The sequence below is a fragment of the Homo sapiens genome, chromosome 3, assembly GCF_000001405.40.
Source record: "Homo sapiens chromosome 3, GRCh38.p14 Primary Assembly".
NCBI lineage: Eukaryota > Metazoa > Chordata > Mammalia > Primates > Hominidae > Homo > Homo sapiens.
In genome coordinates this window covers 58,634,793-58,658,893 of record NC_000003.12, presented here as the reverse complement: position 1 = coordinate 58,658,893, position 24,101 = coordinate 58,634,793, and the positions used below count along the sequence as shown (strand labels likewise).

The following is a 24,101-nucleotide window of genomic DNA, read 5'->3' as shown; positions in this document are numbered from 1 at the left end:
TACCACAGGAGGGATGCACCGTAGTGGTTGAGGATGGGACCTCAGTAGCCCCAGACTTATCACATCTAGCTTAGCATCTCCAGGGAGAAGAGAGCCTCTCTCTCCCCAGTTTCCCATACATCAATTGCAGGGAAAAGTCTGGTTGGCCTTGCTTGGGTCACATGCTCACTCCTGAACCAATCACAGGGAAATTGCAAAGCTCTGATTGGCCAGACCCTTATGACAGGGCGGGTGCCATGATGGATGTGCTCCCATCCAGGACCACAGGTAGGTGTTGAACCTTGACTCAGAGAGTCAGGGAAGGCTTCCCAGAAGTGATTTCTCCAATGAGACCTGAAGGATTCCAGACAAAGGAGTATTCCAGACAAAGAAATAGGAGAACCGTATTCAGACAGAGGGACTCGCAAGTGCAAAGGCCCGGGGCTGCTCCAGAACTTGTCTTGCTCACAGCCCTATCTCCCCCAATCTTCCCAGGGATGCTCAGGGAATGCTTTGGAAATGAGCTCCACAACTGACTGTGTGGCCCTAGACAAGTGACTTGCCCTTTCTGAACTTCAACTTTCTTCTCTATCTGGTGGTTTAATCATTCTAACCTTCCAGGACGATGCAAGAATTCAATTCATTCAGTTTCCAAATATTCATCCAGCACTTCCTCAATGCCCCGCATCCTAGGCCTGCCATTGAAAAGAGAGGCTTGGGGCTTACACACACGGCTGACCTGCAGTCAGAAATGAGAAGGGAGCTATGGGGAAGGGCAGTTCAGAGGAAGAGGTCCAAGGACAGTGAGGACAGACAATGGGAGGAACGGGGTGGCTTGCAGTGATTCATGCCTTCACCAACCCCACCTTGTCCCCAGACCTGCCCCCTCCCTTTCCACTGCCACTTGCACATACACCACCCCTAAGCGGACTTAGCCATGCTAGGCTGGCTAGGTAAGCATCCAGGGCAATAGAACTTTTCTCCTCGTTCCTTTGCCGGGCAACTTTGTAACCTGAATAACAGGTTGGGACAATCTCCAACAGGAAGGAGAAAACACACTCTTTTGGGTTTGGGTGGCTACAGAGGGATTCTTGCTCCACCCTGTGTACCTGCTCCGAGTGTCTTTCCCCCTCCCCACCCCAGCAGGCCAGTCCTGGGCCCCAGCTCCAGAGCACTCACGGGCTGCCAGGGTGAGCAGGCTAGAAACTCACGACACCAGGTAGCTCTGCAGGTGCTGGGAGGGCAACTCAGCCCAGAGGAAGAGCAGGCTGGGGAGCCCTCACCGCCCAATGGGGACTGACCCCTGGCCCCTGCCCCTCTCCACCCCACTGCCCTGAAGCCAGATTTCCTGCTCAGCATGGACAGGACAGCAAGAGGCTAACCCTCTGCCCAGGTGTGTGTCCCCTACCCTCTGTCTCTGTCCCTATCTCTCTTGTCTGTCTCTGAGTGTTTCTCTTTGAATCTGTGTGTGCGCATATTAAAAGTACTTGTTGTGTCTCCCTCTTCTCATTCTCTCTCTCTCTCTCTCTCTTCCCCACCACCCCGCCCCTTCTCTCCGTCTCCCCCTTCAACTCTGTCCCAGACTGGAGTGTCTCTGTACACACCCTCTGTGAATATTCATGTCTGTCTGTCCATCCAACCCCATCTCTCTGACCCTGTCCCTGTCCTTCCATCCTGTCCGGCCACCGACTCTCCTGGCTCCTCTAACATGGGGTTCCTCCGAGTGTCTTTTGAGTCTCATCCAAGAACCTAGGTTCCTGGACTGTAGGTCGCATCCAAAGCGTAGTCGTGATCATAATATATTTTTTATCTGGAAAAAAGAAGCTGGTAATCTGAATTTCAGGAAGTTAAAGTTCCACAATTTTTCTGTGGGTAGAGCCAGGTGACAGCTTGGTTTTCTAATCTGGAAGGCCCTAGAGGAGTAGGATCAGGGTGGTGGGAGGACTGTTACAATTCACAAGAGGAGGTGTGGTTTTGCAGTTGCTGCTGCTGTTGCTGTTATTGTTGCTTAAACATTAAGGACTGGTTCAGCCCGAGCACCTCTCAATGTACATATGGAGGGCCAAGGAGGCGAATAGACTTGCTCAAGGTTGAAGAGGGTGTTGGGGGCTGTGCCAGGCATGAGCCCAGTCTCCTGTCTCAGGTCTGAGCCTTTGGCAGTTGAACTTTGGAGACCATGTCTGTTGAGATGGATTTTTAGGATAAAGACTCTGGGGTGGGCAGGGGACAGGAAGAGTTGTGGGAGAGGTCATCACAGTCAGAGAAGGTTACCTGCTGCCTTGGAGCTGGTGTGGGAAGTCTGGGACCAAAGACCTCCTGTCCTCTAAGTCTCCACAGACCTTCTGGGGGTTTCAAAGCTGCAAATCACTGGTAACTGCCCAGCACCTGGGGGGTGACACAGGGGGAGGTGAAGAGAAAGATGACCCTGCCCTGCTCAGAACTGAATAAGGGAGAAAACTTTGGTTTCAACCCTCCTCTGAGATAAAAATTCTTGGCAGTGAGACCGCAGTAGGACAGATGAAGAGGGGTTTCAGGGAGTGTTCAGCAGCCAGAAACCTGCATCCAAATTCTGGCTCTCACCCTTGCAAGCTGAATAACCCTGAACTTAGCCATGGTGGGTCTTGCTTACTCATCCCTAACATGGGGGTTGTGAGGATTAAAGAGATAATGCATAGATGGCACCTGGCACAAAGTCACCTGCAATACGTGAGTTGTGATTACTCTTTATCTTGGTACAATAAACAAAGATCGATTGGGCTTCTGCTCCCTGATGGTTTCACTGCAGCTAGCTAGCTCAACCTCCCTGGCTGGCTGGTAGGAAGGAAGGAAGGAAGGGAAGGAGGGCTAAATAGACAGCTGAAAGGATGGATGGACAGGTAGATAGAGGATAGACAGATGGATGGAAAAGTGAACAGATAGAGGATGGATGGATGGAAGGATGGATTAATCAACTGATGGGTTGATGAATGGATGGGTGAAGAGATGGATGAACAAATGGATAGATGGATAAGTGAATAAATCAAATCTCCCAAAAGACAGTGGCTTACCAGACTACACCTTCCTCTACTTTCTAATCTCTGCACTTCAAAAAAACATGGAGAATTGAATATAAAACTCCAGGGGCAAGAGTGAAGGAGACATGGAGGCAGACAGGAAAGGAGGAAAATTGCCCTCTTGTTCATATGGCAGGTGGTGAGGAACCCAACTGAAAGAATTATGATCTCCACAGTTAGAGGTCCCTTTCCCTCATCTTCAGGCTTGATCACTTGCAGACCTGATGCCAGTTTCCGACTGGATTTTCTTCTCTCCATAGGTGGAAGCTGACCCCAAGCCACCCTTCACCTGGACAGGATGAGAGTGTCAGGTAGGCTCTGAAATTGGTTTTGGAGTCATTTTTCTGTCAGCTGTGTCCACCCATCCTGGGCTCACAGTGATTTGGCTGTATCTGTTCTCAAATGGTCAGGCCCGAATTCCAGGAGGAAAGCAATCCAGGGGAGGCTGGAAGAGTAGAAGAGGCGACTTCCTGTCTCTAGGCTGAAAGGCATGAGGAACTTTTGCACAGAGGCCCCACATGGCTGGGATCATTGAGACTGCCCATCTTGGAAACACTTGGCCTGGTTGGAAATTAGAGACAAAAATATTTACCTCGAGGAGGGCTATTCTAGAATTTTTATACCATAAAAATTCTAGAGGGAGGCAAAGGCCTTCTAGTCCACACCCTCATACTGTATCCCCCTTTGTACAGATAGGGAAACTGAGGCAGCAGACACGAAATGCACCTGCCTCATTTACATTCTAGAACAGCTGTAAGGAGTCAGGGGCACAGGGTTTTGAAGTCGGCTTACTTCTCTGGGTGTAAACCCCACTTTTGACACTTACTAGCCAAGTGACAGTGGGGAAGTGACCGCCTCTCAGTTTCCTCATATGTAAAATGGGAATAATCAATGTATCCAGCACATAGGGTTACTCAGAGAATGAACTGAGATAATGTATTCAAAAGTTGCTCACATGGTGCCTGGCACAAAATTGAGTGCTGGGTGAACATGAGCTGATACCCAAGAGGAATTCTGGGTGCCTAGATCCGTGCTGTGCCATTGAAGACCAGGGATCCCCACAGACCTGCATCCCACCCCACAGGACCCGGCGGGCCTTCTCCCCAGCCTGAGTAGTCAGAGACTAGTTCAAGGCTCTAGAGCTGAATTCGGGGCTGGGGAGCAGGGGAGATGCCAACAGGGAGGTCAGAGGGAGGGGTGCCACAGCTGGGCCTGTGCCTCAAGAGTCAGAGCAGAATGGGTGGGTCTGATTCAGAAGGTAGCAGGGATGTGAAATGGAGCCTGCTTTCCGGTCCCTGTAAAGAAAGGGAACTCCAGGTGGCTCGTCCCCATGTGTGGGGTTGTTCCCCAATCACATGGGGAATCAGAAAGCAATCTGGCCATGAGGCAGGGGCCAGGGAGCTGTGGCTTGTCTGGAAGCTGCACAGCAAGTCCAGTGTGCGGTTATTTGTGGAGGCCTTGAGGGAGAATTGATGGAAACTGTGGGGGGCAGCCCCAACCCCAAGCCACCTGGAGGCTGCCTACTTTTGACAACTACAATATCCCTGCCAACAAGCTCAGGGGCAAGGGTGTTACCAGGTCTGCTCTGTGCCTGAAGGACTTCAGCTCAGAGAGGCTGAGCTCCTACTCAGAGTCACACAGCACTGCTGGCTGCCCTGAGCACTGGCCACAGCCTTCCTGACTCCCTTTCCAGGGCTCCCCTCCCAGAGTCCTGCCCTCCCACTGCAGTTCTCAGGCCTCCCCTTAAGGGGCTACAGAAAGGTCTAGAATGCTGGCCTCATTGCTAGAGATTCTCTCCCTCTGGAGGGCTAAGTGGAGCCCAGGCAGGCACATTTTTAACTTTCTCTCCCAGGGGACCCACTTGGGGCAATGTTGCCACATGACCTGGCATCACAATCTCACTAACTGGCCACTGGACAAATTCACACATCTTACCACATGGTCCCATGGTCTGGTCCCCAGCATGGATGTGGTCTGAGCCTATAGCATGGGGTCTGTGGGATTTGGGAAGAACTCACACGTGGTCTTGCAATGTGGTCTTGGCTCTGTGGTCTCCTGGCAGCATCCCCTTGCTCAGCAGGTGTGCTTCGCCTCCTGGCCCTCATCTTTGCCATAGTCACGACATGGATGTTTATTCGAAGCTACATGAGCTTCAGCATGAAAACCATCCGTCTGCCACGCTGGCTGGGTGAGTGGGGCTCACTGCTGGGGGCAGGAACTGCAGACCAGGCCTGGGGGCCGAAGACATATTCTTCCCTCCATCCCTAGGTGACCCAGGAGACATGACAAGCTGTGCTGCCTTTGGGACCCCAGCAATTGCAGGGAGAGGGGGCACCCCCAGACTACCAGGAAGGGTGGAGTCCATGGGGAACAGAGGTGCATTGCAAGGGCCTGGGCAACACATGTGCCCACATCGAGGACCACTTTGAAAAGGTGACCCGAAGAAGGAAGGAAAGAAAGGAGGAAGGACAGAGGGAGGAAGAACAGAAGGAAGGGAGGTGGGAGGAAAGGAAGAAAGAAAATCATATATTGAGCGTCTTCACCTGCACCTGCTGCTCCCTCTTCCTGTATCTCTTCATGCAGATCCCCCCCACCTGCCCTCCCACCTGGCTCCTTCTCAGCCTTCGAGTTTCAGCTAAGGTTGCCCTGCTAAGATTGCACCCCTTCCTCCTAGTTTAGCTTCTCTCATGTCAGGCTTTTCCTTTCAGAACACCATCATTATCTGTCATTATGGTTTTTATGTTTCATTGTTTGTTGCCAGTCTCCACACCCTAGAATGTGAGCTTCCTGAAGACAAGGATTTTATTTTGTGTGCATCCACCTCTCTAGTGCCTGGCACAGAGCAGATGCCTAGTAAACATTTGATGAGTGAAAAAAAAAAAACGGATGGATGGATGGATAAATGGGTGGGTGGATGGATGGGTAGTTGGAAGGATGAGTAGATGGATGGATGGGTAGATGGAGAGATGGATGGATGGATGGATGGATGGATGGATGGACAGATGGATGGACAGATGGATGGATGAGTGAAGAATGGCTGAGTGGGTGGGTGGATAGATAAATGGATGGTTGGATGGGTAGATGGAGGGATGAGTAGATGGACAGATGAATGGGCAAATGGAGAGATGGGCGAATGAATGAGTGGGTGGAGAATGGATGAGTGAGTGGGTGAATGTGTGAATGGCTGGATGGATAGATGGAGGGATAAGTAGATGGATGGGTTGGTGGAGAACAGATGAGTGGGTAGATGGATGGGTGGATGGGTAGATGGGTAGATGGAGGGAAGGGTGGATGGATGGATGAGTGGGTGGAGAAGGGATGAGTGAGTAGATGGATGGGTGGATGGGTAGATGGGTAGATGGAGGGAAGGGTGGATGGATGGATGAGTGGGTGGAGAAGGGATGAGTGAGTAGATGGATGGGTGGATGGCTAGATGGGTAGATGGTGGGTGGGTGGGTGGATAGATGAATGAATGAATGAATGAATGGATGGACAGGTGGAAGGATGCTGGATGCTAGCTGCTTTACATGCATAGTCTCATTTAACCTGCACAAATGTTCCACAGAGTGATCTATGGTGTGGTTGTGGAATGGACTCAAGCACAATCCTTGATGTGGTTTCACATGTGTTCTGAGAAAACAGAAGCTTGAGGAGATTTAAAAACTCACCCAAGTTCCTCTTGGAGATATTAGAACAAGAACGGGAACCCAGGTCTCCCAGATTCATATCCTTTCTGATCAAAGGAAGAAGTGAAGGGAAGGGATTTATATCTCTGGATTCATCCCGCTTGAAGACCAAGAACCATGTACATTGACATCATCACAAACATCAGTGACCTGAGCCTCTCCCAGCTTCCTAAGGCAGCAAGTAAACCAGTCACTCCTTCTTGAACATGACCCCACAGTGGAGTGTCTGCGATCCCTTACCTTGTTTGCTTCTTGTCAAGCATGTTCCACAGCCCATGCTGAGATGATTTAGAAGTTTATATAGATGCTTAGTGGCCAAGTGTCCCCACCCCCGCGCCCCCCACCCCCACCCAGGATCGCTGCTTTTACAAACTAGACAGTGATGTGGCTGCACTAATGGCCTCAAAGGTGAGGGGCCCAAGTCAGTGTAGGAGGCTCAGGGGTGTCCTCTAGAGAAGAGTGCCCCAGTCCGAGGTGGGAGAGGGGCAGTAATTGAAAAGAGACCCAGTAATTATTTCTCTCTCAGTACTCAACTACCTGGGGTTTGACAAGCCAACATCTCCAACCAACCATCATTAAGTGACTGCTGGGTTTTGAACTCTGTGTTTGGCCCCAGGGACCCTCAATGAGGAACATGTGGCCCTGCTCATGGTCTGAGTCAGAGAAAGAAACAGACTTCATTACAGCATGTGGAAAAATGAAAGTGCATTAACATGATGCAGAGTCTCAGGAAATGTTTACAATGGCAGGAAATGTAACCAGTGGGAAAGATGGCCAGTAAAAACCATTGATGTTTCAGCACTGAAGGGAGTAATTTTCATTTACTTCAGAGGTTCCTAACCTGAGTGCACATACCCTCATTTTATTATTTAATGCACTGATATAGAAGCACATATATTACTATAGCACAAATTTGGTTTTTGTTTTTACTATTATATTGATATATAATTGGTTTCCAATCTATTTTACTTTATGCATTTAATAACACAGTCTGTTGGAGTATAAAGTGATAAGTGTCTCAAGGGAAGTGAGAATAATTTTATTCTGAGAGGAGTTCATGGGCTTTTCCAAACCACCAAAGGGAATCATGGCACAGAAACCAGATTAAGAACCCCTGTGCCTAGAAAGTTAATCAGAGTTCTTTCGGATAAGAGTGACCAGCCGGGCACGGTGGCTCACGCCTGTAATCCCAGCACTTTGGGATGCCGAGGCGGGCAGATCACGAGGTCAGGAGATGGAGACCATCCTGGCTAACACGGTGAAACCCCATCTCTACTAAAAGTACAAAAAATTAGCCGGGCGTGGTGGCGGGCGCCTGTAGTCCCAGCTACTTGGGAGGTTGAGGCAGGAGAATGGCGTGAACCCGGGAGGCGGAGCTTGCAGTGAGCCGAGATCGCGCCACTGCACTCCAGCCTGGGCGACGGAGCGAGACTCTGTCTCAAAAAAATAAAAATAAAAAATAAAAAGATGAGAGTGACCAACTCAACTTTAACTGGTTTCAACAAAACATGAGGTCTTGATCGTCCACTATGGGCATCTTGTGGCTTCAGGTGTGGCTGAATCCAGGAGTCTCCCATGAAGTCCCCAGAGCTGGTCTCTCTTCTTTCTACATCCCTGGGCTTTGCTTGTTGCTACTTGACCTCAACAGATTAGGGCCTCATTCCATGGGCAGCTTTCTCTCTAAGGCAGGCACGATGGCTCCTCTCCCGATGCTTATCTTCTCCCTTGGCTGAAAAAGCACTTTCTCTCTCTCTCTCTGTCTCTCCCTCTCCCCCTGCCCCCACCAACTATGTATCAACATAGGGAAGTAGGGAAGGGCTCTGTCTCCAGAGAAATGTAATAGTATGATTGACCCAGCTTGGGTCTCATGCCACTCCTGGGGCCTTGGAGGCAAGGGGTAGGGACATTTCCAGATGGACAGCCCCTGAGAACCAAATGGAAAGCGTGTAAGTGTTGGGGGGGGTTCCCCCAAAAAAGGAGAGTTTCTTCCCCTAGGATTTCTGCTTCCTCTGGAGGCCCTGTCCTCCAGGCGTCACTGCTGGCGTGGTGGGAGATACGATGTAGAACCACAGAAACAACTAGGATATGGTATAAGATTTCAGGAAGTGGCCAAGGGCCCTAGAGCCAGTGCAGACAATATGCACTGTGGGCAGTCAGGAAAGAGACACCCCAATATGGGCCAAACACCCACAGCAGCACAACTCTACCCTTCACTGGGGCCCAGGGGCCAGGCACCGGGCTTGGCCCTCACACAGTGATCTCACTGGGTCCCCTCCATGGCCCTGTGAGGGTGGCTGTCATCACACATGCCATCTACATGTGCTGTCAAGGAAACTGAGGCCCAGGGAGGTTAAATGTCTCATGCAGTCATATACTAGGAACTAGGGCACAAACTCTAATGGTCTCAAACAGCCCAGCTTCTTTTGAACCAAGGGAGAGTCGTGTGTGTGTCTTGTACAAGTGTATGTGTGTATATGCACACACATGTGTATGTCTGCGTGTGTGTACACGTCTGTGTGTGCACACATGTGTGTCTGTATATGTGACCATACCTGTGTGTCTCTATGCATACATGAGTGTCACATATATCTGCATGTGTGTGTGTGTGCATGTGTATATGTGTGTGCGTGTGTGTACACATGTGTATCTGTGTATATGTGTGCTGTGTGTGTATGTATGTGTGTGAAGGGGTGACAGTGGCAAGGCATTTTTAGTTCATTTCAATGGCGCCAATTTAAATCCCCTTATTCCCACTCCCCAGCCCCCAGCCCCCAACCTCCATCCTGCAGGAGGGTCCGAAGTGCTTTTCCTCTAACCAGATTCTGTCTTCTCTCCAGCAGCCTCGCCCACCAAGGAGATCCGTGAGTATCTGTGCAGCCCCACACCTCCCCCGACCTCATCCACTCACCCCCTGCTCCCATTTGCCCTAGGGCAACAAGGCCCAGGGCCCCTGCTCTGAGCCCTGCAGGTGCCAGAGAAACCTGGGCTTCCTGATTCTTCCCAGTCCTCTCCTCCCATGGCCCAATGGTGCCTTCTGAAGCCTCTAAGCCCTGTGGCAGGGGTGGCCCCCCTCTCAGTCATTCAGACTGTAGAGACACAGTTCAACTCTGCCCCTTCTCCAGTACCCCTGCTGCAGTCTGGACCGAACCCTGCCCCTGCCCCCTGTCTCTGACAACCCCACACAGCTGGGAGCCCGAGGACCAGGGCTGTGCTCCTTAACCCCATTGCAGTGACCCCAGGCTTGGCTCAGGGTTCCTGCTGCAAAGTGCCAGAGACCACATCAGGCACTACAGGGGCCCCAGAGACAAACAGAAGTGGGTGCTGATTGTCTGTTGGGGTGGAAATGCCAGACCTGCCTAAGAGAAGTGGAGAAAGTGCTCTGGGTTCCAGGAGGGGCACCCCCTGCAAGGCCTCAGGGAGGAGGTATCCCCTCTGCAAAGGCCTAAAGGCAAGAATGCTCCAGTGGAGTCCTTGGCTAGAGAGTCAGGACAAGGAAGGGGAGGGAGAGCTGTGATGATGGTACTAGTAACGATGATTGAGTGTCTATTATGTGCCAGGCACTGGATTCAGAACTTCACAGGCATCTCATGCAATCCTACATACAACCCTATGTTGGTGCTATAAGTAGCCCCTTTTATAGGTAAGGAAACTAAGGCACCGAGAAGTGAAATCTTTTGGCCAGGGTCACACAGCTGTAAGTGGTGAGGCAGAAGTCAAACCCCCTCCACCATCTAGTCCAGAGCCCACCCCCTCAACCCCTCTTTGCAAGAGGCAGCACCTCCAGGCCCTCTCCATTTCCTTCTCAACATGGTGGTGACTCTGAAGAGGGCTGTGGCTCCCAAAATAGGATTTTGCCTGGCTAAGAAGGACATGGGTGCCCCAGTACACTGTGAGATTACAGAAGGCAAAGACAATATGAAGCAACACAAATCATTCACCTCCACACCCTTAACCCTAGCTCCCTGAAGTCTCCTCAGTCATATTCTGAAGTGGACACAGAGTGTCACAGCATCTTGTTGCTATCAAACACTTAGACATCACCTGCTGGGGGGATAGCAAATTCAAGCACACATGCTGTTTTCCACCCTGCCTGTTCCCATGGCAGACATCACCAATCAATCCCAGCATTCTTTCCCTCCAAGCCCATAGGCAGCCTTGAGAGATTTATCATTAAGCCTTTAACAGGAGGTCCACATTGACATTTAAGAGGAAACCTGTTTGACAACCCTGATCTAAACCAACTTCCTGATTTCACAGCTGGCAAAGATAAAGGGAGCAATTTCTGGCAAGCCACAGAGCAGATTAATGAAAGAGCAGCCTATTTCCTGAATGAATCCCTGCCCCAGTGCTCTTGGTAGCACACCAGTTCCATGCTCTGAGCAACAGCACAAGGGTTCCCGGGGGGGTTGGGCCTCAGGGATTGAGGCAGCTGATGGGAGCAGCCTTCTATGCCAGAACCCAGAGAGCAAATCTCCTGCCTCCCAGAGGCTGAGGCCCCCTTGGCCTCATCTCCCTTCATCCAGCAGCGTGACTGTGAAGGCTGGATGGTCAGAAAATCAATGCTGGAAAAGCCTGCTTAAGCCAGCCTGTTGACATCAGGTTTATCAGACTTAGCTGCAATTGATTAGGCTCTGGGCAAACACCAGAAGTGGTCCCCAGGGCTGGGAATGATCTCCCTGCATAGGTGAGATCCCCGGGTGAGGGGTGCATGTGGCTGGAGGTGGGGCCCCAAGGCTGTAGGAGACCAGGAGCCATGCCCTGGCTTCCCTCCCCAGCATCACTCCTCAGCCAATCCCATAGGTGGGGGCTGGGCCCCTTCATAGGGATCCTGCCCAGAAGGAGGAGAAGGGGAGTTGGTCCACCCCCAGCCCGGCCCTCTCTCCCCTAAGCCACAGGCTTGGATACCCACTCTCTCCTGAACAGCCCTTCACGGATGCCTCTGCCCACTGCCCACTCTCTGGGTGACAATGTCATGGTTTGAGTTCAGTTCCACCCATCACATGTGTGTGCTGAAACCAGGAGAGGGGGAGCCCTGGACAGGCATTTCCTCTCAGATTCCCAGGGTTGCCTGCTCAGTGGAGGGAAACCAAGCCAGCAGGGTTCCCTGGTGTGGGCTGCATTTGCTCCTAGAAGGGGCACCTTTACCTACTCAAAGGTGCTCACCAAGCCTGGCACCAGTGGGTTGTGCCCCTCCAGAGGGGTGCATTTTCCTGATTCACCTAAAAGCTCCCTATAGACCAGGGAGGGCCCTGGAAACCTCATGGTCCCTACCAGCCTCAGGTGTAGCCTGGCCCAAATATTGTACATGTTATGCAGTGAAGACTACCCACTGCCTACTATGTGCCAGACACAGGAGTTTTCAGGATGAGTCAATAAGATAATAAACACAAAGTCCTGGCCCCAGTGCCTTGCATGCAGCAAGGTCTTGGCATGTGCAAGCTTCCTTAAGGAGCCTGCAGCTTTGCTCCAAAGCACACACTGGCAGACCTTGGCCAGATGCCTGGCACAGGGGCTGGGGAGGGAAAGGCTGCCCAACCCCCGTTTTCCCTTTGCAGATGAGCATTCTCCAAATCCATGTTTACCCAGTCCTCCTTAATGCTGCCTTCCAAACTGTCAGCGGGTGCTAAAAAGCACACATTAGGATGAATTAGAACATGCCAGGCTGCAAGGGCGGGTGTCATCCCAGAACTCACAGAGCACGTTGAGGGCTCAGCCGCTCAGCCACATCTTTAGGTCCCACCAGCATCTCCCCCCAGGCATGGACCTCCCCAATTTACCCTGTGAAGGCTGCATGGAGAAGATGCAGGTCTTAGGAACAGCCAGCATCACCAGAGGTGCCACTTAGTGAGTACCCAGTGGGCTCCCAACACCGTGCTGAGCTCCCAGTGGGAGAACCGGAACCGTCTGCCTGTTCTCTGTTGTATTCCAGCATCAGGCACTTAGTAGATGCTCAGTAAATGAGTGATAAATGAATGAATGATGAGAAGAATAGCCAATGTGTACTGAGCATTAAACCACACTCATGTATTCCTCACAAGAACCCAGTGGGGGAGGCACCACAGATACCCCATTTTGCAGATAAGATGAGGTGCAAGGAGGTTGAGAATTTGCCCAAGGGAACCTGGCTAGACAGAAGTGCTCCCACTCACCCCGCCAGGGTCCCTGGGAGTTCTCAACAGGGGCCTCTGGGGACTCAGAAGGCTGCCATGGCCCAAACGAGAGGTTCTCAGGAGAGTCCCTTCGTCATAGTGACTCAGGTTTACTCTGGTTACATTTACCAAGGGTGCCCTGCTGTGGCTGGAGCTGTGAAGGGAAGCCCAAAAATTCATTCTGGGCTGGTCCTGTGTGCTCTGGTGGGGGCTGTTGGAGGCACTGTGGAGCCCAGAAGGGCACATCTCCCAGACTTTGCAATCAGCGAAGGCTCCCCCAGAAAGAGGCTCTGAGCTTCATCCCAAGCTGCGCCCTGGCCCTAGCCCTGGCCCTCCCCTCCTTCTCCCCCAAGTACCTCCTGAGCTTCTGCCCACCAAGGCTGGTCTCTTTCCTCCCCAGAGGTTAAAAAGTACAAGTGTGGCCTCATCAAGCCCTGCCCAGCCAACTACTTTGCGTTTAAAATCTGCAGTGGGGCCGCCAACGTCGTGGGCCCTACTATGTGCTTTGAAGACCGCATGTAAGTACCTAAGACACAACTATGTTTATTTTATTTTATTTTATTTTATTTCATTCATTCATTAAAAAACTCAGAGGCTGCAGGGGCTGGCCTGTGAGACCAGCCCACAGCTTCCCTTTCACTCTGGGTGTGTGAGGCACAAATAACAATAATTGAAACAGCTCCCACATCCACCAGCACCTTGCCTGGTGCTTCACAGCATCTCTCATTCATTCCCCCGACATCCTGGGAGGTGGGGATATTATCCCCAGGAGAATGTAAAGATGAGGATAGTGGGGTGCAGACAGGGTCACCTGCCCAGTGGCAGGACCAGGATTTGACCTCAAGTCTAACAGCCAAGTTGCTGGGCTTCCCATGAAAGGAAATGCCTGCAGAGAAGTTTCAAGATCCTGACCCAGGCATCAAAGCCCAGATATAGCAGGCACCAGGGCTTCCACCCCAGTACAGGAGAAAGGCTGTGTACCTATCATCCAACCTAGACAGTAAAGGCCCTGGGACAGCAAGTGCAACCTATGAAAGAACTCAGGGACGGGTGTTTAAACCAGGATTCTGAACCTAACCACAGTTTGTTTAAGCAAAACAAGGAAGTGATGGGTTCAAATACCTAAAAGACCAGGGGTGGTAGGCAGGCTTCAGGACCACCTGGATCCAGGGATTCAAACAATGTCATCAGGGCTGTCTATCACCCCATCTTCAGCTCTACCCTCCTCTGTCTAATAGCTTTGCTTTTTTTTTTCTACTTGCAAGGGATTTCTCCATGTGGTTAAAGAGGGAGACCACCAGCTGGTTTGACATATTAGCCCAGCCTAGCACCCTAATGGGAAAAGAGCCTTCCTGTCTAAATTATCCCTGCAAAAGTCCCAAGCCTGTATTTCATTGATTGGCCTGGGTCACATGACCAAGCCTAGCCCAGCGTATTAGTCCGTTTTCACGCTGCTGATAAAGACATACCCGAGACTAGGTAATTTATCCAGGAAAAAGATTTTAATGGACTCACAGTTCCATGTGGCAGGAGAAGCCTCATAATCATGGTGGAAGGCAAAGGAGGAGCAAGTCACATCTTACATGGTTGGCAGCAGGCAGAGAAAGAGCTTGTGCAGCCTCCTTATAAAACCATTAGATCTTGTGAGATTTACTCACTATCATGAGAACAGCACAGGAAAGACCTGCCCCCATGATTCAATTACCTCCCACTGGGTCCCTCCCACAACACGTGGGAATTCAAGATGAGCTTTGGGTGGGGACACAGCCAAACCATATCAGCCAGTCGCTGTAGCTGGGGACGTAGGATGCTCTGCTTGTCCACACCTGGGAGAGAGAGGTCAATCCCAGGAACCACCTGGCCTGTTCGTGGAGAAAGACAATTCTCCCACCGCACATCCAGAGACAAGGGTGTGGATGCCGGGCCAGCAGGAACACAGCTGGGCCACATGGGGACTCAGACACCCCAGGATGGCAGCAACCTTCTGGGTCCTGCCTCCTTCCAGCAGCCAGGCCTCACGGCCTGGGGGTGGGCTGGCCCCACCTCCAACACCTCAGAGGCCCAGGCAGGGACCTTGCCTCTTCTCTGAGCAGGTTGTTCTGGTCCAACATGCCTTGAGAAACTCTTCAGAGAATCCAGCCCACCACTAGTTTTCAGGAGAAAACAGATGGCCCCAGTTATTGCATGTGTTTCCCAATGCTTCTGCATTGCTTATGTGGGTCCTCACGGAGTTCCCCAGCTGGGAGAGCAGAGTGTTCATTCCACACTCGGGACCGACTGTCATATTTCTTCTTCATTGTCTTCAGGATCATGAGTCCTGTGAAAAACAATGTGGGCAGAGGCCTAAACATCGCCCTGGTGAATGGTGAGTTGCATATCCATCCCCAGACAGTTCCCACCCAGAACCAGGGAGGGTAGGGGGTAGCGGCATATTCATTCAACCAACATTGGCTCAGCTCCTACCTCATGGCAGGAATGCCCGTAGAGCTCAGGAGGGGAAGCGTGGCTGGCCTGGGGGAACAGAAGGTCTCAAAGACCCGCAGAGCTGTAGAACCGCAGAGCTAGCCAGGCCCCTGCCACATGCTCCTATCTCAGGAGGACACACTTCTCCTATGGAACATGAGTGAAACATGACCCGATCCTCAAAGCCTCTCTGCTTAAGCCAACACAAATGAGGATGTGGGGACAACCAATGACAGTGCAAGATCACATGCTGAGTATACACCTTCATTCATTCATTCAACAAATACAGGCAGCAGCTACTGTGGGCCAGGCTCTGTACAGGACACTGGGGGTCAGCCAAGAACTAGAAAGGCCCTGGCTTCACAGCCTCCGTAGGTATCCGTGAGGCTCACAAACAATCTCAATGTGGTGAGCCTCTCTGGAGGGGCAGGAAGCACAGCTATGGGAGCTGGGATGCAGAGCTGGGATGCAGAACAGGGGACAGACCCCGGGTGGTTCAGGGGAGGCTTCCAGAGGGAGCTGATGGCCAGCTAAGGCCTGAAGGATTGTGGGCGCTGGCCAGGAGAAAATTGGGGAAGGCTCTTTCCAGGCAGGGGCAACACAGTGCAGGGAGGAGAAGGGAAAGGGAGGGAGAGAGGTTTGCAGGGCAACATAGAGAGGCAAGGCTGGGGACAGCAGCAAGGCCAGAGGATGAGGAGCTAGCAAGCCTGCTAAGAAGTGTGACTGGAAGCCGAGAGCAGTAGGGAGCCACGGAAAGGCTTTGAGCAGTGTGTGAGGGGCCAGGCATGCACTCCAGAAACCTCCCTCCAGCTTGGAGTAGGGGGGCTGGAGGCAGGGAGACCACAAGGGAATCCATGGCCTTGATAACCCTGCATCTCCTGCAGGACACACACTTAAACAGGAGGCCAGAGGGCCGCCAAGCCTGAAGTAGGGACACGTTTCAGGAGGGAGTGGACTTACAGGGTCAGGTAAGGACCAGGTGGTCTAGCCCCAGCCAGACCTCCTCTCTGCCTCTGTTCTTAGAAAACAGAGTTTTCTAAGAACTGGCTGTAAGGGCCACTTCTGGGACAAAGGTCAGGGCAAGTTGGGGAAAAGGTGTAAGGGATGCTCAGGAAGGAACTTGTCGAGCTTGTGTGTGGCAGGACCACATGAGCACACTTAGGAAGGAACAGGGTAGGATGGGAGCCCCGGCCTTGCCAGCTCCAAGCCCCTGCACTTCACTCCAGAGAAAGCCTTTTCTCGCTCTGCCAAGAAACCCTAATGGGTCAGGGGAGAAGTCGAGGCCTGGAGCAGTGATGGGGCTGTTCCTGGACAGATGGGAGTCAGAGGACAGCCCTGGCCAACTTCCTAGGAGCCCAGGAAGGGCCAGGGCAGGGAGTGGCAGGAGGCTGAGTGCAGCCGTTCCTCTGCAGCTTTGAGGAGGGCCCAGGCCTGTTCCACTCCAGCCTCAATGAAGTGGCATCCCTCCTGCAGGGAGGGTGTGCCCAGGCTGGTCTCAGAGCGCTCTTTTGTGCATGCCAGACCCCAGAAGACTGTAGGAGCCTCAGCATACATCAACACTCCCATCCATCTGCCCTCACCCCACAGCGAGGGCAGGCAGGAAATGGCACAGGCTGCAGCTGACCTGGCTGAAACCTGCTGACTTTCTCCCCTAAATGGGTCGCACCTGAGAAAAGCTTTTTGAATATTCTCCAATGAGATGGCCCCAGACTAGGCCTCTTTCCCTGCTTCTCACAAAGCCAAAAGGATGAAAATAACCATCAATGGCAATAAGAACTAGCATTTATTGGGCACTTACTGTGCCTTTTCATTTAACCCCATCACTGTGTTAGGATGGAGCTATGCTCAATATCCCCATTTCCCAGGTAAGAAACTAAGGCTCAAAGAGGTTAAGCAGGCTGGGTGCAGTGGCTCATGCCTGTAATCCCAGCACTTTGAGAGGCTGAGGTGGGCAGATCTCTTGAGCTCAGGAGTTCAAGAACAGCCTGAGTAACAGTGAACCACCCCCCGAATCCGCCCCGTCTCTACAAAAAGTAAAAAAATTAGCTGGGTGTGGTGGCGCACACCTGTAGTCCCAGCTAAGGCTGAGGTGGGAGGATTGCTTGAGCCTGGGAGGTCGAGGTTGCAGTCAGCCAAGCTCACACCACTGCACTCCAGCCTGGACTGCAGAGAGACCCTGTCCAAAAAAAAAAAAGAGGTTAAGCAACTTGCCCAAGGTCACACAGCCTATAAAACCACCTACGTTTGAACCTGGATCGAGTCAACTGCAGGTCTTAATCATTCACCTGAACTACCTCCCTAGACTAGAAATGTCTCAACCACACATACAGCACCTACTGTATACATGCGTGCTATGTATGCCAGATGTGGGGAAGCCCAACAAATCATGTAAGGGGCTCAGTGTCCTCATCTATATGACCAAGAACAACACAAGGATTGCTAAGGATCCAGTAGTCTTTAACCTTTAGTGGGGCAGAGAGTCCTCAGGATCTTCCAGCTATGCTGGCCGCCACCCCCACCCCCAACACTCTCCAATTGCAGAATCATTCACAAGCGCACGCGATCACAAAAGCAGCCCCATGGGTTCATAGACTCCTTCCAAGAGCCCCAGGTGAAGCATTCCGTTCACGCTACGTGGCTCCCGAGAATCCTGGAGGGGCTGCTAAGCGAGCCTGCTCGCGCCACCTGGACAGCCTAGGCCTGGTCCCCACCCTCCTCCGTAAGCCTCGGAGCTGCCATCCCCTCTGCAACGCCTCCATCTAGCGGCGGAGAGCGCGAACTGTAACGTTCCTCCAGAAGACTCGGTTCCCTGGAGGGCTTGGCCTTCGGCCACCTCCTCCCACAAAACCCACAAACGCAATCCAGGTTACTGGACCCTGGGAAACTGAGTACCGCTTAGCCCAACACAAATCCCTTTGCCTTCAAGAGGTGGAGGACTCCAGTTGTAGGTTTTCTATTTAGGTGGGAATAATAATGACGACTGTCATTTTGATTTTGATTTTGCAGCTAAAATTCATCTTGTATGACTACTATTAATATTTTAAATGTATCTCCTTTAGTTCCCACAACCCATTGTACAGATGCAAAAATTGAGGTCAAAATGCTAAGTCCTGCGTTAGAAACTGGTAGGACAGAACACCGACTCAGACTGAGTAGACTCAGTTCGATTCCAGAGATGTCCTCAGCCATTACGTTCTTGAACCTCTCAGATGAGCCCAGCCATTCCTGGAAACCTACTTTAGTCCTGCGTGCTCTTTATAGGACCTGATTTCATTAGATTCTTATTCTGTTTTTAGATCTTAGACTACAGATTAGGCATTTTCAGCAGAACGACAGGCAGAATGACACGTGTTACAGGGGATAATCGTTCTCCTCTTAACCCCTAGGAACCACGGGAGCTGTGCTGGGACAGAAGGCATTTGACATGTACTCTGGAGGTAGGTGCCTCTGCTGACACTGAAGTCACAGTCGGGGGTGCGGTGCAGAGGGCTGAGCCTCTTCATGTGGCAAGGGACCTGGTGGCTCGAGGTACCTGGTGCTTCTTTCCACAGGAGGCACCCAGGAAGAGGTGCGGTGGGGGGTTGAGGGTGTCCTGCTGCTTTCGAAACTCCTTCTGGCCATCTCAGTTGGGATCTCCCAGACTCAGATCCTGAGACAGGGATTCAAGTGCAATGCTTTATTTAAGAAGTGAGCTCAGGAAACGTCAGATGGGCAGCTGGAACCCTGTCCTCAGCCCAGGGCTTCATAAGACCCCACCCGGCCCTCCTCCATCTCCATCCCAACTCATGGGTGAGCAGTCCGCAGAGCTAGGAGTGTGCTGACCTGGAGTCTGCATCAGGGCCCACGCAGGTCTCTTACCAGGTGTGCCCCACCCCCAGGCTTCTGACACTCCCCCAGGATGGAGGGGTGACCAGGGGCTGGCTGTTGCTTGATGGGAGGGTGCTGTGGATGGAGCCTGGATGGGCCCACTGAAGTGCCCACATGCGGTGTGCAAGGTCCCTCCTCCTGGTACAGGATAGAGCTGAGGACAGGGGCAACAGGAGATGGGGACAGGCCAGGGGCTGAGGACCAGACATTCTGCCTGGAGTCCTACTGATGTTCAGCGTGGCCTGGGGCCAGGTTTATGGAAAACGTCCAGTCTCCGGTGTCAGAGACTACTGGCGGCATGACCTGAAGCAAGTGATGCCTCTTGAGCCTCAGTTTCTTCATCTGTGACATAGAGGCAGCTATAGTTTCCACTCCATAAAATTGATGTGAAGATTAGATAACCTGAAATAATTGGTGGAAGGGTATCCAGCCTGACTGGTGGAGGGGTCCAGGCAAGCTATGTTAGTCTTCTCCCTTCCCTCCTCTTCCCCTTCGCTCCCCTCTTCCCTCATTCCGTCCAGATGACTCAGAAGCAAGGAAATCATCTGTCAGAATGAAAAGGAAAAAAAGCGTAAAGATGAAACTAAGCTTTAAAATGCCTTATGATAAACTTGAATGTAGCCACGGCTGATGGGGACCCAGAAACAGAAGCATTGTGAGCAAGTAGTCCTTCCCTTCAGGAAACAAAAGGGGATGATGGCTTTTTAAAGTGAGGTGATCATTAGCAGAAGGCATGTTTTATTTTTTCAAATACCCACCGTCCATCCAGACAAGCACCAGACCGTAATATCTGCTAACAACACAAATTAATGGTGCTTTAAGAGCTCCCTCCTTTTGTCATAAAAGTTCAAGGGCCATTTCTTTAGAAGAGTGACTGTGGTGGTTGACCGGAAACCTCTGTCACTGAGCTGGCTGGCAGCTGGCCTTAGTTGGGAGAATGGCTTCTTCCCCAAGGTCCTAGAGGTCCGCACTGGAATACTAATAATCAAGGCCAGCTTTGTGGGCCTATGACCTGGGGACAGGGCAGTCACACGGGGCCCATGCTTGGAAGAATCTCACACTTGACTTCATGCTCTGCCATCGTGGTCTTGAAATACTTAATCATTTTTTATTAAAAGGCCCTGCATTTTCATTCTGCACTGGGTCCTGAAAATTATGCTGCCAATCCTGCTAATAATTTTTGGTTCCATTAGAGTACGCTTACTGTATGCCCAAAGTTATTGTCACATTTGCACTTCATAGAGGTTATAAGCAGGGCTGTTACTCATCCTCATTTGACAGATATAGTCTCTGCTTTAGCCACTAGGCTGCTTGTTCCCAAACTTGAGCCCACTCGAGTTGCACCATATCTAGAATAATATCTGCATTATTAGTATTTTTCTTTAAATTGGATCACTTTTTTTCTTACCTAAGTAAATATATCTTAAAAGGAAACTATATTACTGCCTTAAATGGAAAGCTATTATCACTTGTTATGCAGGGAAGGTGACCATAAAAATAATCACAATGGAGGGCCCTGGGACAGTGGCTTATGCCTGTAATCCCAGCACTTTGGGAGGTCGAGACAGGCAGATCACCTGAGGTTGGGAGTTCGAGACCAGCCTGACCAACATGGAGAAACTCCAATTCTACTAAAAACACAAAATTAGCCAGGCATGGCGGCGCATGCCTGTAATTCCAGCTACTTGGAAGGCTGAGGCAGGAGAATCGCTTGAACCCAGGAGGTGGAGGTTGCAATGAGCGCAGATCGCGCCATTGCACTCCAGCCTGGGCAACGAGAGAGAAACTCTGTGTCAGAATAATAATAATAATAATAATCACAAGGGAAACAAATCAGCCTCTTCACAGTGAGCTGGATGCTGATGCCTCCCCCAGGTGCTAAACCTAGAGCTGTTCTCTGTTAAATAGAGAGCTTGGCAAGTTAGGGAGGCATTAAAGACACACGCAGAGCCTTGCTCCTTGACACAGCAGGAGAGTTGTATTCATAGTCTACTCGAATTCTCTCCCAGGGATCTCAGTTGTCTGAGGCCACGTGCTATACCACCTAAAGTCAGCACAGATAATCTGGGCATTGTCCAGCGTAGAATGGGGTCTGGGGTATGCAAAGGGCCCAGAGCACCTGAGAGATGATGGCACTTCGTCCCCAGAGGGGTAGGCACACAAGGGCCCTTCTACCAGTGGTGGTCACCCTCAGCTGCAAATCCCTGTCACGAGGGGAATTTCTAAATTCCAGTGTCCAGAAGCCACCCCACATCACCTGGATGAGTTCCCCTCACTCTGGTCACTCTGCCCTCCCCTAGGACAAGGGCTACAGGGAGCTCCACCTGGGATGCTCTTCCTCCTGGCTTCTGAGCTCAGCCCAGTGTCCACCGGGCCTAGCTGACTCCTGCATCATGGGGCAGTAGACAAGCATGAGAATGACCAGGGCTCATTTCCCCTAAATCACCAGCACCTTTTCCTTCCTCCCCCAGATGTTATGCACCTAGTGAAATTCCTTAAAGAAATTCCGGGGGGTGCACTGGTGCTGGTGGCCTCCTACGACGATCCAGGGACCAAGTAAGTAGAAAACTCTACCTGCCAGGCCACACAGTGATGCAAACTGAATACCTTCAAACCCTGCACACCCTTTTCTGCTCTTTTGCCAGATCCATTTTCTGGCAACTTATCTCGAGGAAATTATCAGACAAGTATGCAAAGAAATGTTCTAGGAGGTTCATCACAGCCTTCATTACCACAGTGAAAAACTGGAAACCCTCTCCCTGTCCAATAATAACAGCTGACTGGCTACAGAAACTATGACATACGGTGACATAGGATATGATATATACACAAATGAAGATAGACTGCATCAAAAATGATGGTGCGGAAAGTATTTAAGGACGTGGAAAATCGCTCACCCTCTAGTGCTAAGTGAGGGGAAAAAAAAACACTGTATGGAAATACATACACTGATCACACTAAGGGGAGGAGGGGTGAGACTGTATTTCTTAGTTACTTCTTTGTGATCTTCCATATTTTCCAAATGAATGTGTATTGTATTTGTAAATAGAGCAGTACTGTTTTAACACATCTCCAGCCCCATCTGAAGCCCTTTTAGAGAGGAAGTCTTGAAGCCCTTTACCCTGTCCTTCCTGAGTGCAGCCACGTTCTCTGGACACCCCCAGGGCAGATGCTGAATGGGGAGAAGAGTGGGAACCTTGCCCCATGGGAATCCCACCACCTGATGCCCCTGCGACCCACCCCCGCATCCTGACCATCCTCTCTGGTCCTCTGCAGAATGAACGATGAAAGCAGGAAACTCTTCTCTGACTTGGGGAGTTCCTACGCAAAACAACTGGGCTTCCGGGACAGCTGGGTCTTCATAGGAGCCAAAGACCTCAGGGGTAAAAGCCCCTTTGAGCAGGTGGGTTCTGGGCCACAACCCGGCCCTATGAAGGATGCATGAGGAGCTGGGTGGTGGTAGGAAGGAGTCACCCATTCACCTCCCAGGGGCCTTAAAATTGGGAGGATTGTCTGGGGAGAGGCCCCTGGCTGTCATTCACTCCAAAGGCCAGGGTGGTCTGATTGGCCAGGAAGCTGCCTTGGCCATTTCGCAAAAGCTGGGTCATATATAGATACGCAGGTATACAGATAATTATCAGAAAAGGAAGAGGGAAAAGGAGAAAAGAAGGATGATGGGCAAGTGAGGCATGAAGGAACGAGAAAGAAATGGAGACATGGAGCTGTGTGGCGGGGAAGGGGATCCCGGGGAAAGGAGCAGGATGCCTGTCCCCATCCCTTCAGCCTCCCTGGCGAGGCATGGAGAAAACGAGGAGGGAAGTCAGAAGGCAGGGAGGAGGCCGATGCCATCATCAGACAAGAGGTGCTGGAGGGGGCAGGTGCAGGGAACCGTGTGCTGAGCTCTAGGAAGGGCACCAGGACTGGGATGGGAGGATTTCTTTCCTAAGCTAGAAAATGTGGTCTTGGTCTGTATGCGTGTGTTTCTAAGAGGATGTATTTGGGTAACTAGAAATTACTTGAACGCAGTGAAGAACGCAGGAGGCCGGTGGGCGGGGGCGGCCGGGTGTGGTTCCCGAATGTCCTGTGGGGGTGCTGCAGCAGGGCCCTAGCAAGAGGCAAGAGGTCTGAGGCTGCATGGGCAGGTGGTGCTTTCCTGCCCCAAAGCGTGGGCTCCAGACCCAGGGGAACCGGCAAGACAGAGGAGGCGTGGGAGTACAGGAAGCCCAGCATCATCTTCATCCATCTGCAACCAGCTGGCCGGGACCGACACACAAAAATGAACCAAGCACCCTAATGGGACTAAGCCGGTCTGTTCTTAGTCCTCACACTTGGGAAACTGGGTTTTAGGCAGGTAGCATCTAGAATCTCTTTTTTAATTCCTGAGAGTCAGCCACAATGATTCCAACAGCAGATTTTGCCATTTACGTTTTTTTCTTTCATAATCCAAACCTGAGCATTTTAGACACAATCCTAAGTGATTTTATTCTTCTTACATACTTATTACTAGTATATATATATTTTAGAGATAGGGTCTCGCTCTGTCACCTAGGCTGGAGTGCAGTGGCACAATCTCGGCTCACTGCAGCCTCGACCTCCTGGGCTCAAGCGATCCTCCCGCCTCTGCCTCCTGAGTAGCTGGGACCACAGGCATGTGCCACCACATCCAGCTAATTTTTTTATGTTTTCTAGAGACAGGGTCTCCCATGTTGCCCAGGCTGGTCTTGAACTCCTGGCCTCAAGTGACCCTCCTTCCTTACCCTCCCAAAGTGCTGGGATGATAGGTGTGAGCCACTGCACCCCACCCCTTATTATTAGTATTAATTAATATTATGTGGTGGTTCTGCCACTTACCAGCCAGTGACTACGGGCAGTGACCCTCTGTGCCTCAGCTTCCCCATCTGTAG

General features: G+C 51.4%; 1 protein-coding gene across 19 annotated transcripts in view, besides 4 other annotated features; it reads left to right on the top strand.

Annotated features, from left to right (window-relative positions):
* The window catches only part of FAM3D (FAM3 metabolism regulating signaling molecule D), a 32,829-nt gene that overhangs the window by 7,881 nt on the left and 847 nt on the right, over positions 1-24,101 (top strand). For 2 of the 19 annotated variants that reach the window (NM_138805.3, XM_011533351.3), the window contains exons 2-9: positions 3,293-3,343; positions 5,113-5,220; positions 9,556-9,579; positions 13,268-13,385; positions 15,174-15,232; positions 18,717-18,767; positions 21,669-21,753; positions 22,474-22,600. In NM_138805.3, the coding sequence (NP_620160.1) occupies positions 3,331-3,343; positions 5,113-5,220; positions 9,556-9,579; positions 13,268-13,385; positions 15,174-15,232; positions 18,717-18,767; positions 21,669-21,753; positions 22,474-22,600 (585 nt within the window). In that variant the 5' untranslated portion in view covers positions 3,293-3,330. Of the gene's footprint in view, positions 1-1,128; positions 1,373-3,292; positions 3,344-5,094; positions 5,221-9,555; positions 9,580-13,267; positions 13,386-15,173; positions 15,233-18,716; positions 18,768-21,668; positions 21,754-22,473; positions 22,601-24,101 lie in introns of those variants that run through there. The other 17 variants (XM_011533348.3, XM_047447431.1, XM_006712967.4 and 14 more) reach the window with 14 other exon arrangements.
* Positions 9,301-9,800: an enhancer, noted in NCBI's record as "H3K4me1 hESC enhancer chr3:58634821-58635320 (GRCh37/hg19 assembly coordinates)". NCBI's record gives its function as "activates a minimal SCP1, AML or CMV promoter by ChIP-STARR-seq in naive H9 embryonic stem cells {active_cell/tissue: H9 hESC(naive)}" and the evidence as "EXISTENCE:reporter gene assay evidence [ECO:0000049][PMID:30033119]".
* Positions 17,462-17,962: an enhancer, noted in NCBI's record as "H3K4me1 hESC enhancer chr3:58626659-58627159 (GRCh37/hg19 assembly coordinates)". NCBI's record gives its function as "activates a minimal SCP1, AML or CMV promoter by ChIP-STARR-seq in naive H9 embryonic stem cells {active_cell/tissue: H9 hESC(naive)}" and the evidence as "EXISTENCE:reporter gene assay evidence [ECO:0000049][PMID:30033119]".
* Positions 17,963-18,463: an enhancer, noted in NCBI's record as "H3K4me1 hESC enhancer chr3:58626158-58626658 (GRCh37/hg19 assembly coordinates)". NCBI's record gives its function as "activates a minimal SCP1, AML or CMV promoter by ChIP-STARR-seq in naive H9 embryonic stem cells {active_cell/tissue: H9 hESC(naive)}" and the evidence as "EXISTENCE:reporter gene assay evidence [ECO:0000049][PMID:30033119]".
* Positions 18,001-18,160: a silencer, noted in NCBI's record as "silent region_14491". NCBI's record gives its function as "represses an Ori minimal core promoter by ATAC-STARR-seq in GM12878 lymphoblastoid cells {active_cell/tissue: GM12878}" and the evidence as "EXISTENCE:reporter gene assay evidence [ECO:0000049][PMID:35858748]".